Here is a 15343-nt window from a genome sequence, read left to right on the forward strand (position 1 = left end):
ATAAAATTAAACTAAATTAAAATTTTAAAATCTTCCTTGCTCTTAAAATTGTTACCTATGTGCCAAAGATATAGAATACATTGACACACCTTTAACTTTTTCAGTTAAGGCATATTTTAAGGGGATAAAGGCTATGTCACTTTTCTTTGTAACAATACAATCATTCATTTAAGATTATATTTATCATTAAAGCCCCTCTCTTCCTAAATAAGACGTATCCACATGTTACATTGTTAAGAGACATGACTTCATTGTTTCCTGGATTTTGCAAGCTATGTAAAATATTTGCCTGGTTTTAAGAGTGAAATTTAAATACCGTGTCCTAAAAATTAGTAAGAAAAAATATTAATGGAAGCAAATATGATTTTAGGGATAATCCCTAAATTATTTTACGATTTGGATATCAGCCATAATATATTAGAGGTTGAAAGTATCAGCATTTATACACAATGGAAGGGCATAAATATGGCATTCAAAGAGTGGTAAGTAGGAATAGAAGTTAATTTACAGTCAGGATGCTATTTAATCCCTGGGTAGAAAAGAGGATACTGCTAATACCAGTATTTATCTAATGCAGTATTACTATTGTTAAATGGGAAACTTAAGGTTTATGTTTCATTAAAAGACTTTATTTTCAATCCAACATTTTGTTTTCCTTTTTGCCTTAATTGAACGTAATTGGATAGATACCAAACTCAGACTTGCCGTATGTTCTCTGACTTAAGGTTTTAGGTGAATTCTCTTTATGGTCTGCCTCTTAGGGTATTGTTAATTAATTTTCAAATTAATTATACCATTTGACAAACTTGATTTTTTTTTTTATTTTATTTTGTTTTTATTGAGACAGAGTCTCACTCTGTCACCCAGGCTGGAATGCAGTGGCATGATCTCAGCTTACTGCAACTTCTGCCACCCGGGTTCAGGTGATTCTCCTGCCTCAGCCTCCCGAGTAGCTGGGATTACAGGCATGTGCCACCACGCCCGGCTAATTTTTTTTTTTTGTATTTTTTAGTAAAGATGGGGTTTCACCATGTTGCCCAGGCTGGTCTTGAACTCCTGACCTCAAGTGATCCACCTGCCTCGGCCTCCCACAGTGTTGGGATTACAGGCATGAAACTTGATTATTTAAACCCCTTTACCTCTCCCCTCCAAATTACGTAATGAATGAATGGTTACGTAAATGTCAATTTTTAGTTCACAAATACAGTCCTATTAGGCACAGTTTTTCTCTGTTGGCAAATTTCCTTTATTGTCTCTTCTCCTTTGACTGGATCCCTGCCTCCGGAAAGTGGAAAATTCGGCACTCTTCTTTCAAAAGACAAACTGTCCTTTACCTGCTGCTCAAGTGAGGGGCTGTGGGGTTGTGGGGCTGTATTTTCCCCTGAACTGACAGCCCCACACAGGCGTCCTGCGTAACTATCACTTGCTACTTTGTGGCATTTCATTTCCAATCTCAGGTCTCTGACGACTGCTTCTTTGGAATATTTGCATCTCTCAAACTGGTAAGAAGTGACTTCCTGGAAACAAATTGCTTTCATGTTTTCTTGTCAGCCTGAGAGGTTCTCTTTAATAGTTTATTGGCTGCTGTCCTTTTGTTAGTAATAGTCACAACAGCTAACATGTATGGAACACCGCTCTGTGGGACTCTGGGCCAAGCATTTCATGTGCATTATTAATTTGATTTTCTCAATAAATAAGCTACTGTTATCCCTGTCAACCAGTGTGCCATTATGATGCCCATTTAAGGATGAGAAAACAAAGGCATATGGTGAAACCAGGTTCTAACTTGGATCTGTTTGATTCCAAATTAGCTGAGTTTTAGCAGATCCAGAGAGGTATACCCCATCTCTGAAAATACAGGCTTCTTCTCTAGCTACAACATTTTAAGAATGATTTTGAACTTATTTAAAATTTTCAATTGACTAATTGCAAACCACCATGCACTAGAGATACAGGATGGATGAACTATTCACTGTTGCTGCTCTCAGAGTCCTTACCATTAGGTGGAAGGAGACAGACAAGCAAATTGCCTAACATGTTACAGATGGAATTGAAAAGGCATCTTTCCGTAAGAAACAGCAGCCGTTCCTTTTAAGGGTGGACAGAACTAATGGACAAACAATCAATATACACACAGATAAGTTAGTACACACACTTCCAGCTGAACCCCCTTCTGTCCCCCATCCCACCACCCAATTATTAAAATGACTTCAGATTTTCATTGCTGAATTTGATGTCTCAGATTTTGACTTTAGGGGAAAAAAAATCACTTGATGAGAGCTAAGCAGAAATTTTCTGCAAAGATTATGGTTGCATGAATAGATTTAGCTAATACTCCATATAGTTTTTGTTTTTACTGGAAATGATTTTTGAGTGAGAGCAAGTGGTGAGGTTTTATCCCAGAAGACAACACTTTCTAAAAGCAGGTGAAACTAAGTTAAAATTAGTCATCATGAAAGTCTGACAGTGTGTTCCTTCTGGTAAATTCTGTAATTTTCAACACAGTTGCCCTATTAATTGTATGCTTATAATTGGTTATGTATCAAAGTCTGAAAGACCATGAAACTGATGTTAGTATTGAGCACGTTAAATCTTGAGCCACTTGCAAGGAGTGTCTGCCTTTGGATAGACTGTTACATGGTAGTTTGAATCTCCCTGAACAATATTAAAAATTTTGTTAAATTTAACAAAAAAAATTTGTTAAATTAAAAAAATATTTGTTAAAAAGATTGCTGATGATCAGCAAAGATCTTGACTTGGAAATCTTTGACAGAAAGGGTTTTCTAGCAAATTGCAAACCTTATGATAAGAAATGCCATAGCTTTGTATGAAAAATGACTTAATCTTTTTTGTTTTTTATAATTTGTCAAGTTCCCAGCTATTTATACAGTTTATTTAATTTAATTTTATTTTATTTTATTGAGACGGAGTCTCGCTCTGTCCCCCAGGCTGGAGTGCATCTCGGCTCCCTGCAACCTCCGCCTCCTGGGTTCAAGCAATTCTTGTGCCCCACCCTCCCAAGTAGCTGGGATTACAGATGTGTGCCACCATGCCCAGCTAACTTTTATATTTTTAGTAGAGATGGGGTTTTACCATGTTGGCCAGGGTGATCTCGAACCCCTGACCTCAGGTGATCCGCCCACCTTGGCCTCCCAAAGTGCTGGGATTACAGGTGTGAGCCACCATGCCTGGCCTATACAGTTTAAATACACACCAGATATATGGTTGGCCTGTTTGCTTGAGGTATCTGTTATAGGGTCTGAAAACTCCTTTGACCAAATAATTTTATTTGGATATTCCTTTTGTTTTTCAGTGCTTTATTTTGCATGTAAGGTTATTTCATCTCAGTAGGCATTGGTTGTATTTATATCTTATGTTACTGGCCAGATCCACGTCTGTTCTGCCCACGTGCAGTAAATCAATCACTGTGACACAGGTTTTGCAAAAGAGAAAAGATTTATTCACAAGGGCACCAAGCATAAAGATGGAAGAACAGCCCTCAACTCTACCTCCCTGAAGATAAGGTTTAGGGATATTTATGGGGTAAGGAAGTGGGGTGGTGTAAGGCACAGGGAAAGGTGATTGGCAGTGGGGAAAAATGAAATCACAGGTTCGTTCTACACAGGCATAGCCAGGGTTCATGGCATTTCCTAGGACATACATACAAAAAATGGCAGAGTCAGCATGATCTGATGGTGGAGTTTTTGGCTCTCCAACATCAAAAGGCCATCTCTTGGGCACTTGCGCTCAGGCCCAGTTTAAGGGCCAGTGGTGTCAACGGGTTTGAACTGGACAGAGCTGGCCAAAGTTCCTGAAAAACAACTGAAGTAACCATTACCATGGTGACGTATGCATGTTATCTGTAAAGTAGCCAGTGAAGGTCAAGTTTGAGCATTCAGCAGCAAGACCTTCAGCTACTGCAGCCTTCAGCTTCATGGAAAAAGAGAAAACAAAAATAACAAAAAGCAAGAAACCAGAAGCATGCAGGGCAGGCAGACCTGATGAGATTAACTGTTCGGTTTCATTAATCCGTGTGATTATCAGCTGGTTCATTTTCAGTTAATCAAAACTGTTGAACTTCTATCCTGAGAGTATAGATGTATAGTTTTGTACCCAGTTTTCAGAAACACAGATGCCATGATCTCTTCTTTCCCCATTTTAGAAGAAATTTTTGGTTTCTGTGGCTTTTCATTCAGTTTAAGGCAGAGGAGAAATATGTGAACCATTAATACATGTAATTTTTAAAAAAATTCTTGTAGCTGGAAAGATGATAGAGAAGGTTTCACAGCAGAAATATCTTCCATTAGCGTCGTGAACAGATAGTTCACCATGATCTCAGAAAGCCAATTCTGAAAATAAAAGAAAAAAGAGCCCCACATTTGAAAGCTCACTCATCAAAGCATGTTTAGTGCTCCTCCTCCAAAATCTAAACTCGGACAGTTGATTGTGTCGGACCTCACCAGTTCACTAAACTCGAAACCTAATGTAGAAAGTAAATTGGGTCTAAAGAATGTGACTCCATGTGACTCAATGAGAGCCCCCAGACCCCTCATTTCTAATCCCTGTTTGCTGTATGCAGGGAAGTGATTTGTTTTCTCCCTCTTCAGGAGGGCATTTGTTATTTTTATTAAATGTGAAAAACAGATCGTCCCCATGTTTGAGAACTTGGCCCTCATAGTAACTTGATTTCATTAGCTATAGTCACTTAAATGTTTTAATCCTCTGAAATAAATTGCTGGTATGTTTTCATCCTTAAAAAATGAACAGCATGTAGGAATAATATTTGAAGAGCAGCTGGTCAGAGACTGTCATGTAACATGCATACATATTTCCCAACAGCCTAAAGCCTTCTTTCAAAATTCAGCATCTAAGCTTTTCTGGTGAAATATGTTCAGATGGAATACTGGTGTTTTTTTTTTCTCCCCTTCCACAATGCATTTCATGAAATGGCTGGGTAAATACATTACACATACATAATATGTGATTGAGTGGCTCATCTGGAATGCAAGAATGCCCCAAAAGTGAGCACCAGACTCTGAGGTTTGGTACTGTCTGCTTATTCACTATTTTGGAGCCTCTTCAGACCCCATGGGGCAAACCACCCCCAAGTATTTAACATGCTGCTCTGTTTAGTTGGTTTTGATTTAGCATGCTTTGAACTCAACAGAGCAGGATGATAACGTGAGAAACAGACTAAGAGATTTCTTGTGGGGGGGGTGGGGATTATTGTGGCTTTAAGTCTTGCTAACAAGGATAAAATTATTCCATTTGCAAAAAAAAAATTACATTCATAATTTATGTTTTTACCAACCAGACCATACTTAGTAGTAATCCAAATGGTAAAGTAGTAGAAAAGAACTTTCCTTTTTTTTCTATTTTCTTGGCATAAAAAAAGTCCTTGCTTTAATGCCTATTGGCAAAGTTTATTTAAGCCATTATTACAGTTTTAAGTGCACGTGTGTGTGTGTGAGAGTGAAAGAGACAGGGCGAGAGAGGAAGTGTGTGTGTTCTTAAAATTATTTGTTGTTATAAATCACAGAAATAAATCCAAAAAATGTTTTCATTGTTTTAGGTGAGAGTAAGGATTTTGTAAAATTTGTGAAGTTGCGAAGATGCCTCATTAGAAATGTTTAAGCTGTTTCTTTCTTTTTTTTTGTAATTGCAAAATGTTCAAAGTTTTTTATCCAGAAGTACAAAGCCCTGGAAATTACCTCACCAGTGTTAGGAGGAGTCTGGGTATATTTCTTGAAGGAAGCAAGCCTTTTTGTCTCATTCTGTGCCATTTTCAGACAAGAGTTAATTGGCAAATTAATTTTTCTGATCCCCTCAGGCACCACCAAGTCTGAAGATCGTGCTGCTTTGCTGAAGAAATTCAATGAACCTGGATCCCAGTATTTCATTTTCTTGCTGAGCACAAGAGCTGGTGGCCTGGGCTTAAATCTTCAGGCAGCTGATACAGTGGTCATCTTTGACAGCGACTGGAATCCTCATCAGGTCTGCATGTCCCACTCAGGTGCCCAGGCCTCCCTCTGGAGAGCAACTAAAAGATGATCAGTTTCATTATTCACATTTACAGGACAGAGCAAATATCTAAACGAGTGGGCTGTTGCTTTCTTGGAGCCAATTCTTCTGGCTGTTTTCTTATCTCCCTTAGAGCATAGATACGAGGTCCCACATATGCCTTTGAAGAGCTGAAGTTTGAGGTAGAAAAACTTAGTTTCTCCTTAGTTTTAATCCCATCTCTTGGGATTGCCATTGAACAAAGTATATTTAATGAGGGATAAGTCAAAAATGTTGCAAAATCATAGCAGTAAGAACAATAGCAACCATCATTCATGGGACCCTTAATCTGTGTCAGCCTCTTGGGCATTTTTTCATTCAGTTTTACGACAACCCTGTCAGACGGTTAATATGATTTGAATCTTTGCAGTCAAGGAAACTGAATCCTAGGCAGGGTAAGTAACTTCCCCAAGGCCAAATAGTATTACAGTAGTTAACCTTTTATTTTGTGTTTTATTTAAAGTCATCATCAAAACATATTCTAATGAGCATTTATTGTTGTAAAGCTCTTTTAGCCAGGTAAGTTCAGGGCTATCCTTTTAAAGCAGTACTTTGATGTTTTGTTTTTTTTTTTTTAAATTGAGCGGGTCTCTCATGGCACTGGTTTTCTAAGTTACTCTGGGAGGTGAGGCATCTGCCTGTAGGATATTGGGTAGGGTGATATTGGTCAAGATTTGATTCATACTGGAGCAAATGTTGAATTCAAAACAGTAAAAATGAAGAGCAGGTGTGGTGGCTCATGCCTGTAATCCCAGGACTTTGGGAGGTTGAGGCAGGAGGATTGCTTTGAGCCCAGGAATTTGAGACCAGCCTGGGCAACATGGTGAAACCCTGTCTCTACAAAAAAATACAAAAATTAGCTGGGCACAGTGGCACTTATACCTGTAGTCCCAAGTTCCTCAGCAGGCTGAGGTGGGAGGATTGTTTGAGTCTGGGAGGCAGAGGCTATAGTGAGCCATGATCGTACCACCGCTCTCCAGCCCGGGCGACAAAGCAAGACCGTGTCTCAAAAAAAAAAAAAAAAAAAGAAAAGCAAAAAGAAAATGGCAACTCTCACGTAGGAGTATGAATTCTACATCAGCTTTTCCTAGGCTCCTCGTTGAGCCCTGGTTTTCTCAACAGTAACACTATCTCACTGGGTTGCGAAGACTGAGTGGCAGTGCCATATAGCGTCACTTTTGGCAGGAAATCACATTCAGGGGTACATTAAAATTCTAAGGGAGCTTTTAAAAAATATGCATGCCTGCTTTCTGTTCCCTGCCACCGCACCCCAGTTTTCTTATTCGGTGGAGCTAGGTGCTTCCTTTGAGCGCTCCCAGGAGATTCTGAAATAGATTCTCATACAGATGAGGAGCACTGATTTAAAGACTCAACTGTGGGCCCAAACCACCAACACTGGGCCACTGCGTGTACTTACCATTCTCTGTAGGTGAATAAATTAAAGCGACTATTAAAATTTTCTGATCTTGAAAAGGATTGGGAGCCACCAGCACAGAATATATTAGTTCTAAGTCTTCAGGAAATATGGTTACGTATTTTTATAAATACATAAAAGTGTTTCATTCCAAGGCTCAGGTAGAATTCATATTGATGTGAGAGATCTGCAGTTTTTCTTTTTAGCATTATGGATTCAGTATTTGTTCCACAAACATTTATTGAGTGTCTGTTATGCAGCAGGCAGTGAGCTAGGCTGGGTATCTAAGGGGGAGGAAGGAAGACGTGATGTGACTCCTCTCCTCCTGGTGTGCTCAATGTGATTGGATGTTTAGATTATCCTTGCTGGTACCTAAGTTTTGAGGACGATCTATAGGTGAATGGAGAGTTTGCTTGTATTCTGTCTTCGGAGGTAAGCATTTCCACTGACTCTTAGATGTTTACCTTCACTGGCACAGTATACAGTATAAATCCTAAAAGCCACTGTTCCAGGAAATGCTAATTTAACATGGAAAATAACTCTGGGACATCTGTATGATGTTCCACCCCACCCCGCCTCTCATTTTTTTTTTTCGTACTTTCTCTCTAGCTCTGTTAAAAACTTTGAACTCTAGAATCAAAGTAAATTGCAGTAACATGAAATAGTCCCCTCTTAACTACATGGGAACTAAAGCTTTGGCAGCAAAACACAGGATCCCAGATTTTCTCTGGTGGAATTTACAACAGGTTCCTCACACTGGGCCTCTGCAAGTATTTCTAGCTGCCATAGGTAGATTCACTTCCACCTGATTGAATAAACTGAGCTGACCAGATTTTTCATCTGTCACTGAACAGGACCATTAGTTTGGTCAAATTTTTCTTTTTCAGGAATCAGTGATTTTATAGTGATAAAGATCCATCTGAGTTTTCATTTAAAAGGTACAGAACTCTACTAAATATTGTTAGGCACTTTGCATACCTCACCTCAAGTAATCGTCAAAATATCTTCTACATAAGGAAACCAGTCAATGTTAGCTTGCTCATGAACACCCCACCAGGATCATTCACACCCATGTCTGTTTAGGTTTCAGTTTGAATACTGGGTTTGAGCTCTTTCTACCTTGCACCCTTGCATATAGATTGTATAGCCCCCAAAATGAAAATTGTGAAGGTCTTTGTATCAGGTTAATTTTAGCATGCATTGAAGAAAAATTTCTATAAGTATGCATTATCATGTTGAATCAAAATTAAGGCACATTGGTGAAAATAGGGGATTTGACATAGGTTGACAGATAGAGGCCTTAATGTTGCTGATTGAGGACCCTACCTAGAAGCAAAGATAGAACTCGTGATTGTGGAATTAACAAAAAAAAATCCCACCAGGTTGCCAAGACTCTCATTTCCAAACTGTTGGTTAGAAACATGGGTTGGTACTCGTGTTTTTTACCCACGGAGCTGCAGCTGTGTTGCTATTACGGAATGGTCGACCACATTTAGCTTGCAGACCCTCTTCTCAGACCAGGCTCTTAGCTTCAAGTATTATCAGACCTAAGTCAGTGTGATGAAGTTTCAGACCACCGAAGTGAGACTTCAGAAACATGGAGTAATCCATCCAATAATTACAGCACTTCTTTGTCACAATATTCCCCCCACATTTTGGCTTAGGGACTCAAGCTCACATTTCGTTAAACTTCTCCAGTCTAGAAATATTAGCTTTTGTGACCTTCCAATTAGATGGGTGATCTGAAACACACAAACACACATCACTGCTACCACCACCAAACGAAACTTAACTGCAGCAAATTCCCAAGGATTCTGTAATGTCTGACCGTGTTCCTATGTTGTCCATGTGCCCTGCTTCCTCACCTGTTCTATTCATATTCTGCTGCCCCCTGCAATTAGTATTTTTGTGGTTTTGTCAGCATCTTCTTGGACAAGGGTCAGCAATCTACTACTCGCGGGCTCGGTCTGACCTGCCCCTTGTTTTTGCACCCCCACAGGTGAAGAATGGTTTTCACTTTTTAAAGTATAAATTAGAAAATGGTGGGGAAAAAGAGTATCAGCCTTCTGGTGAGAACAGTTGTTCAATTTTTGCTTCTGGGCCAGACAGCATAGAACGTTTACTATTGCGCCCATTTTAGAGACTGTTGGCCTCTGTTCCAGGAGATAGTGAAAAGCCTCATGACACAGACCTTGTCATCTTGACTGCTGTTAGCAGGTCTGGTGAAGATATGTGGAGAGGGACGGTTGAACTAAAAGCTTAAAAAGGAACTTTAGGGTGTTTTAAAGTTCTTTGTCCCCTTTGGATTTGAATGATCCACCTTACATTCTCCTCTTTAGAAAATAATCTAATATAGATGGGTCCCAGCTGTTTTCATGGCTTAGCACTATGATATTTATATTAACTTATTCAAATATCTGCTGAGGAAGAAGTTTTGCCTAATTGGCTACTTAATTTTAAAGGTCCCTGCAGCAAAAACAAATCTCCAGGGCAGCCTTTTGTCTGCTGCCTTCTTGTGCTACAACAGGTGACCAGGAGACTTGTCTGGTCAAGAAGACGGGTTTACAGCTGTTGAGCATCAGCTCTCTGCAAATTATGGTGCCAGGGATGTGGGATACAGAAAACAGACTTTTGCCCTAAAAATCTATACAGTCTAATGGGAGACATGTGTAAACAACTAATTAGCATCAGCTCAGATAACATCACCTGGACCACAATGAATAAAAGCCACATGCCAAGAAGTTTTTATTACGTAGCTATAAAATTAGGTAATTCTGTTTCATGGGCTCATGAAGGTTTTTATTTAAAAATTTCATGAAAGCTTTTTTCTTATTATTAATATATGAGTAACATTTAAAGCAGAAAAAAAGCAAAATGTAAGCAAAGTGAAGAAAGTGAAATAACACCTATAATCTTATCACCTGGAGATTTACGTTGTTGGCATGTTGGTGTTTGTCCTCCTACCTTTTTCTTTATATAGATAAATTTGCACATGTAAGATCAGAATGCACATGGTTCTTTTTAACTTGTTTTCACTTATGTCATTAAATCTCCTACAATATAATTTTTATGATACTTTGTTGATACATACATATAGTAGGATACTATAATTCATTTAACTAATTCAGTATTGTTGAATGTTTCTTTTTTTAAAAAAAAAGCCATTAGAGAGAGTAAATTATTCTGAGAAGGTACATCCTTATTTCTAAATCTTTGTGCATATCTATGATTATTTGTTTAGGATACATTTCCGAAGTAATATTTCTAAGTCGGAGACATAGACAGTTTTAACACTTCTAATAGGTAGTGACAAATTTCTGTCCCCAAAAGTTTACCAGTTGACTACCCAACTAGCAATCCTTTTGATTTCCCAGATTGAAGACCGAGTCTTTGATAAGGTTAGGTTCGAGGAAATTGACTACCTGAGCAGTCAGTGTGTGTGTATGTGTGTGTGTGGTAAGATGTATGTATGTATAATACCTGAATGTACAACTCAGTGATATTTTTAAAATAATCTTCAACACATCACGCCAAAGAAAAGGCGTTTCTTGCAACTTAAGGTTAGTTGTAGGTGTTATGTAAGTCATAATTCTGACATTGGACATTGGTGTCTTGTTTAATGTTTTAGATATGGACTAAATCTGATGGGGAACCTAGAGACAGATAAAAACAATATGATACCTGGATTTCAAAACCTGAGATGTATTTCAGTTGGCTTGGTTAATTTCAACCCAGGTTTCTTCAACTAGGAATGACACTGAATTTTTCCAAACGTAGCTTGTGTGTTTTTAAAATGTAGGCAAAATCTTACCTTAGTGAAGGTGAAATACAGAACCCTTCCATATTTCCCTCTGGGGTGGGGTCCGGTTTTGGATGCCTATGCCAGGCATCTCAGTCCTCATAGCATATTGACCCCCCAAACAGGATCTGCAGGCCCAAGACCGAGCTCACCGCATCGGGCAGCAGAACGAGGTCCGGGTACTGAGGCTCTGTACCGTGAACAGCGTGGAGGAAAAGATCCTCGCGGCCGCAAAATACAAGCTGAACGTGGATCAGAAAGTGATCCAGGCGGGCATGTTTGACCAAAAGTCTTCAAGCCACGAGCGGAGGGCATTCCTGCAGGCCATCTTGGAGCATGAGGAGGAAAATGAGGTATTAGAGAAAACCCCAAGTTTATGAAATCAAACAGTGGCCTTTTGTCTCTGAAGGACTCAGAATAATCCCTTTGTTTAAAAAACTTCCTGGGCTGGCGTTAATGAAAATGAAGAAATAAACTGCTGTTTTAGATCCCAACCACAGAAAGCCTGTGAAAGTTATCCAAAATGAGTGTCTTAAGAGCTATGGCTGGAGGAACCTCAAGGCTTGGCCTGTGGGTGCTCCCTCCTTTTTCCCAGGGTGGTAAAACCAGCTGCTTTATTGAACCATCAGTGCTGCCTTCTGTAGGGCAGATGCAGAACTGCAGAGGATACTTTAGGGACAAAATCAGCCGGACGAGACAAGACATAAATGGAAGGGGTCCTCTTTCTCTCATCCTCCAGAGCCCTCTCTCTCTTTTGCCTTTTGATCAGGGATCACAGAGCTTCAACATGTTTGTAGGACAAACCTTCACAGCCATCTTCCGCACATTTAGCTATACTTGCTCTTGGCAAGCATGACCTTAACCTCTACTTTAAATTTTTCTTTAAGAGCTGTCTGAAGGTTGGGAAAAATTCTGGTTAAACAGCCTTTATTTGTCAGGGTTGTATGAAGAATGCTTTGATTAGGTTTTTATTAGGGGAATGTTGAGTTGTCATTTGTATTATTTTTAGATTGCCAACGTTAGTAATTTTATAAATATTCATTCCAAAATGGATTTGAAGTAGATTTTTAAACGTATGTATATAGTGTAGCAAACTACAGAATATCAGCAGAAGTCCTTATCATAAAACTGGCTGAACATATTTTTTGTGTGTGCCCATACTTACAAATTGAAGAGTAAGTCTACCTTACATATTCATGTGGAATACTGTTTTCATTGCATATATTAGATATAATTTGATTTTTGCCTTAAATAGGATATGTGTTTTTGCATTCTTCTATAAATTATGAACCTGAGTCTTTTAAAAGTCTTATAAACAAATACTCCTCAACTTACAATGGTGTTACATCCCGACAAACCCATCATAAATTGAAAATATCAGGACATGGCCCCATCTTAAGTCTAGTGGAGTACTGAATGTGCATCCCTTCTGCACCATTATAAAGTCGAAAAATCCTAAGTCCAGCCGTTGTTAAGCCAGAGACTGTCTGTATATTTTTTTTTTCTAAAATGAATCTAAATGTGAAGTAAAGCTTGATATTTAAAGGTATCCTGAAATGAACCCATTTGCAAATTGAAGAGCACTTTTGTATTATGCCTCCTAATTTGTCCGTCTTATATTTTTGATTAGCTATCCACTGAGTTTCATGAAAATGATAAAAAATACATATGCACATGCACTCACTATCCACACACATTTGAAAAATTTTTATCTCAAATTATTTATAGTTTCTGATTCTAGAAATTGAATATTTGATACAGATATGGAGTCAAATTGTCAGGTGATTTTTTTGTTGTTTATACACTTGGACATTTCCAAAAAAACAATATGGCGAATGATCTATCCTGTGACAAAGCAGATATGAGCAGAGCTGACACTCAGCCAGTCGTCTCCACTACATTTTTGCTTATTTGTTTTGTGTAGGCCTTGTGAAAATAGTACCTGATCTGGTTGAGAATCAAGGAAGCCTGGAGTTTTCCAGCCTTCCTAAGCCGCAGGGAGTTGCTGATCTCCCCTGGGCCCGAGGGCTGCCAGGTGGGGCCTGACGTGCACTCCCCTCCCAGTTGTCCTGCCATCAAGGCTAGCTGTGAGCAGCCTTGCTGAGGCTCCTGTCCCTTCTTGGCTGCCAGTGTGTCAGAAAAATGTTGCCGTTTTCAGGGGGGCTTGTGTCCTGATGTAAAGATGTTTGAAAACACTGAGAGACTGCAGTCAAAGACTCTGGTTCTGAAAGATCAGGACAACATAGGCTGGCATCACCATGGTTGATGCGACCATGAAGTGCTGGGGCAGAGAACCCAGGAAGATGCATTGTGCACTTCCAGCTATTTGGTTTTCCATGAAGGTCATAAACAGGCACTTTACAAGAGAATCTTTTCATCTTGGGCATGGGGTTGTCTGAGCCCCTCATGGTCCAGGTGATGAGAGGGTAATGTGTGGTTCTAGGAAGAAAGTAGGCGAAGCGGGACATCTGTTCACCAGAGGAGACATTACCAGATATTTTGTACTGTGAAGTCTGAACCCACTCCCAGCTAGTCTGTGTCCTTGTCAGATGAAATGTAATATTTAGACAAATTGACTTTAATCAATCTGGAGGCAAACTAGAATAGAAGGTTTTTCAGAAATAATTATTATCTTGAATTGTAGATTTTTTTACTTTATTGGATTGCATTCATTTCTAACACTTATTAAGTTCCTGCAGTGCGAAAGACGTTATCTTGGGAGCCGACACAGTCATCTCATTTGAGCCGCTAGTACACTCATACTCTTTCTCTAAAACAAGTTGCCTCTTTTTGAATATACAGTTTGTGAAATTGGATGTCTGAAGTTCTGTGTTTTCCTCTTTCTTCCCTCGACTGATACACTGAAATTCCCCGTTTGATTTCTAACAAGCCCACTCAGCATATGATAAAAATAATTTGGGAAGATAAATCCTGAAGCATATGCCGAACTTTTAGAATCATTTTTTAAGTGTGGAAGTCATCCTATAACATTGCTAAAAATCCTGAGAACTGTTGGTTTCTGAGGAATTAGCAGAGAGATAATGTACCTTTGTTTGACGTAATATAAAATGAAAATTTTAGCCCATATGTAATTGCTTTCTCTGCTTCATTTAAATTATTTTAATTAAGTATAATTTTGAGGTTTTTTTTGTTACTGATACCTTTTTAGTTATCCCATCCATAGCTCCAATCATTAACAATAATACCCATAGAAATATATTAAGCACACTTCAAAGGCTATATATTTGGCACATATATGTGATTTTTATTGTCTTAGTGCCTAGTAACAAGGTTTCACATACTTATGTCTTTTGTAAGGATTTGAAAATAAGCATTTATATTTGGCATAAGGTAAATGGAATTAAAAGAATTAATGTTAGGTACTTTTTCATATGGATGTCCTTATTAAAATCTTACATCCCCATGTGAAATAGATGTCATACCCATATGACCAATGAGGTCACTGAAGCGAGGAGACATTAAGTAACTTGTTGTAAAAGTAACAGAATCAAGATACACATCCAGGAGAACTCATATTTCTTATAGTGGACCACAGTTTCCTCCCTGAACGGATTTTGCTCTGGGAAGATGGTTTTAATAGCTTGTAAAATAGTAACGTCAAGGACTAAATCCAGCAACCCCTTCCCTTTTCTTTCTGCCTTGAGAAATGGGACCCCTCTGGTCTGGAGGACAGATCACTTACTTGTTTGTACCTTGCCCCAGCTGTCCACTGGTTAAAATCACTCTGTTTTTAACCCCAGGAAGAAGATGAAGTACCGGACGATGAGACTCTGAACCAAATGATTGCTCGACGAGAAGAAGAATTTGACCTTTTTATGGTAATGTTACAGAAAATCATGAACACAAATGCTTTATACCTCTGCCCCTTTTTCTGTTAAGCAGAATGTCTGCAGCCTGCGTGCCTGGCAGAACTTCATACGTAAAGCCTATGCCTTTCCTTCAGTTCAGAGGCTGCAAACTGGCTGGAGTTAGCCTGCAGACATATTTTGTTTGGCCCACGCAGCGTTTTTTAAAATTTCCCATTCATTGCCAACATAAAAAAGAATCCT

The 15343-nt window shown here is 38.9% G+C and overlaps 1 protein-coding gene across 4 annotated transcripts in view; it reads left to right on the forward strand.

Moving 5' to 3' along the window:
- SMARCA2 (SWI/SNF related BAF chromatin remodeling complex subunit ATPase 2) overlaps positions 1-15343 on the forward strand; it is a 178274-nt gene that overhangs the window by 89077 nt on the left and 73854 nt on the right. For all 4 annotated transcript variants that reach the window (NM_003070.5, NM_139045.4, NM_001289397.2 and 1 more), the window contains exons 24-26: positions 5831-5994; positions 11399-11626; positions 15035-15112. In NM_003070.5, the coding sequence (NP_003061.3) occupies positions 5831-5994; positions 11399-11626; positions 15035-15112 (470 nt within the window). The remainder of the gene's footprint in view (positions 1-5830; positions 5995-11398; positions 11627-15034; positions 15113-15343) is intronic.

Source organism: Homo sapiens, chromosome 9 (genome assembly GCF_000001405.40).
Source record: "Homo sapiens chromosome 9, GRCh38.p14 Primary Assembly".
Classification (NCBI taxonomy): domain Eukaryota; kingdom Metazoa; phylum Chordata; class Mammalia; order Primates; family Hominidae; genus Homo; species Homo sapiens.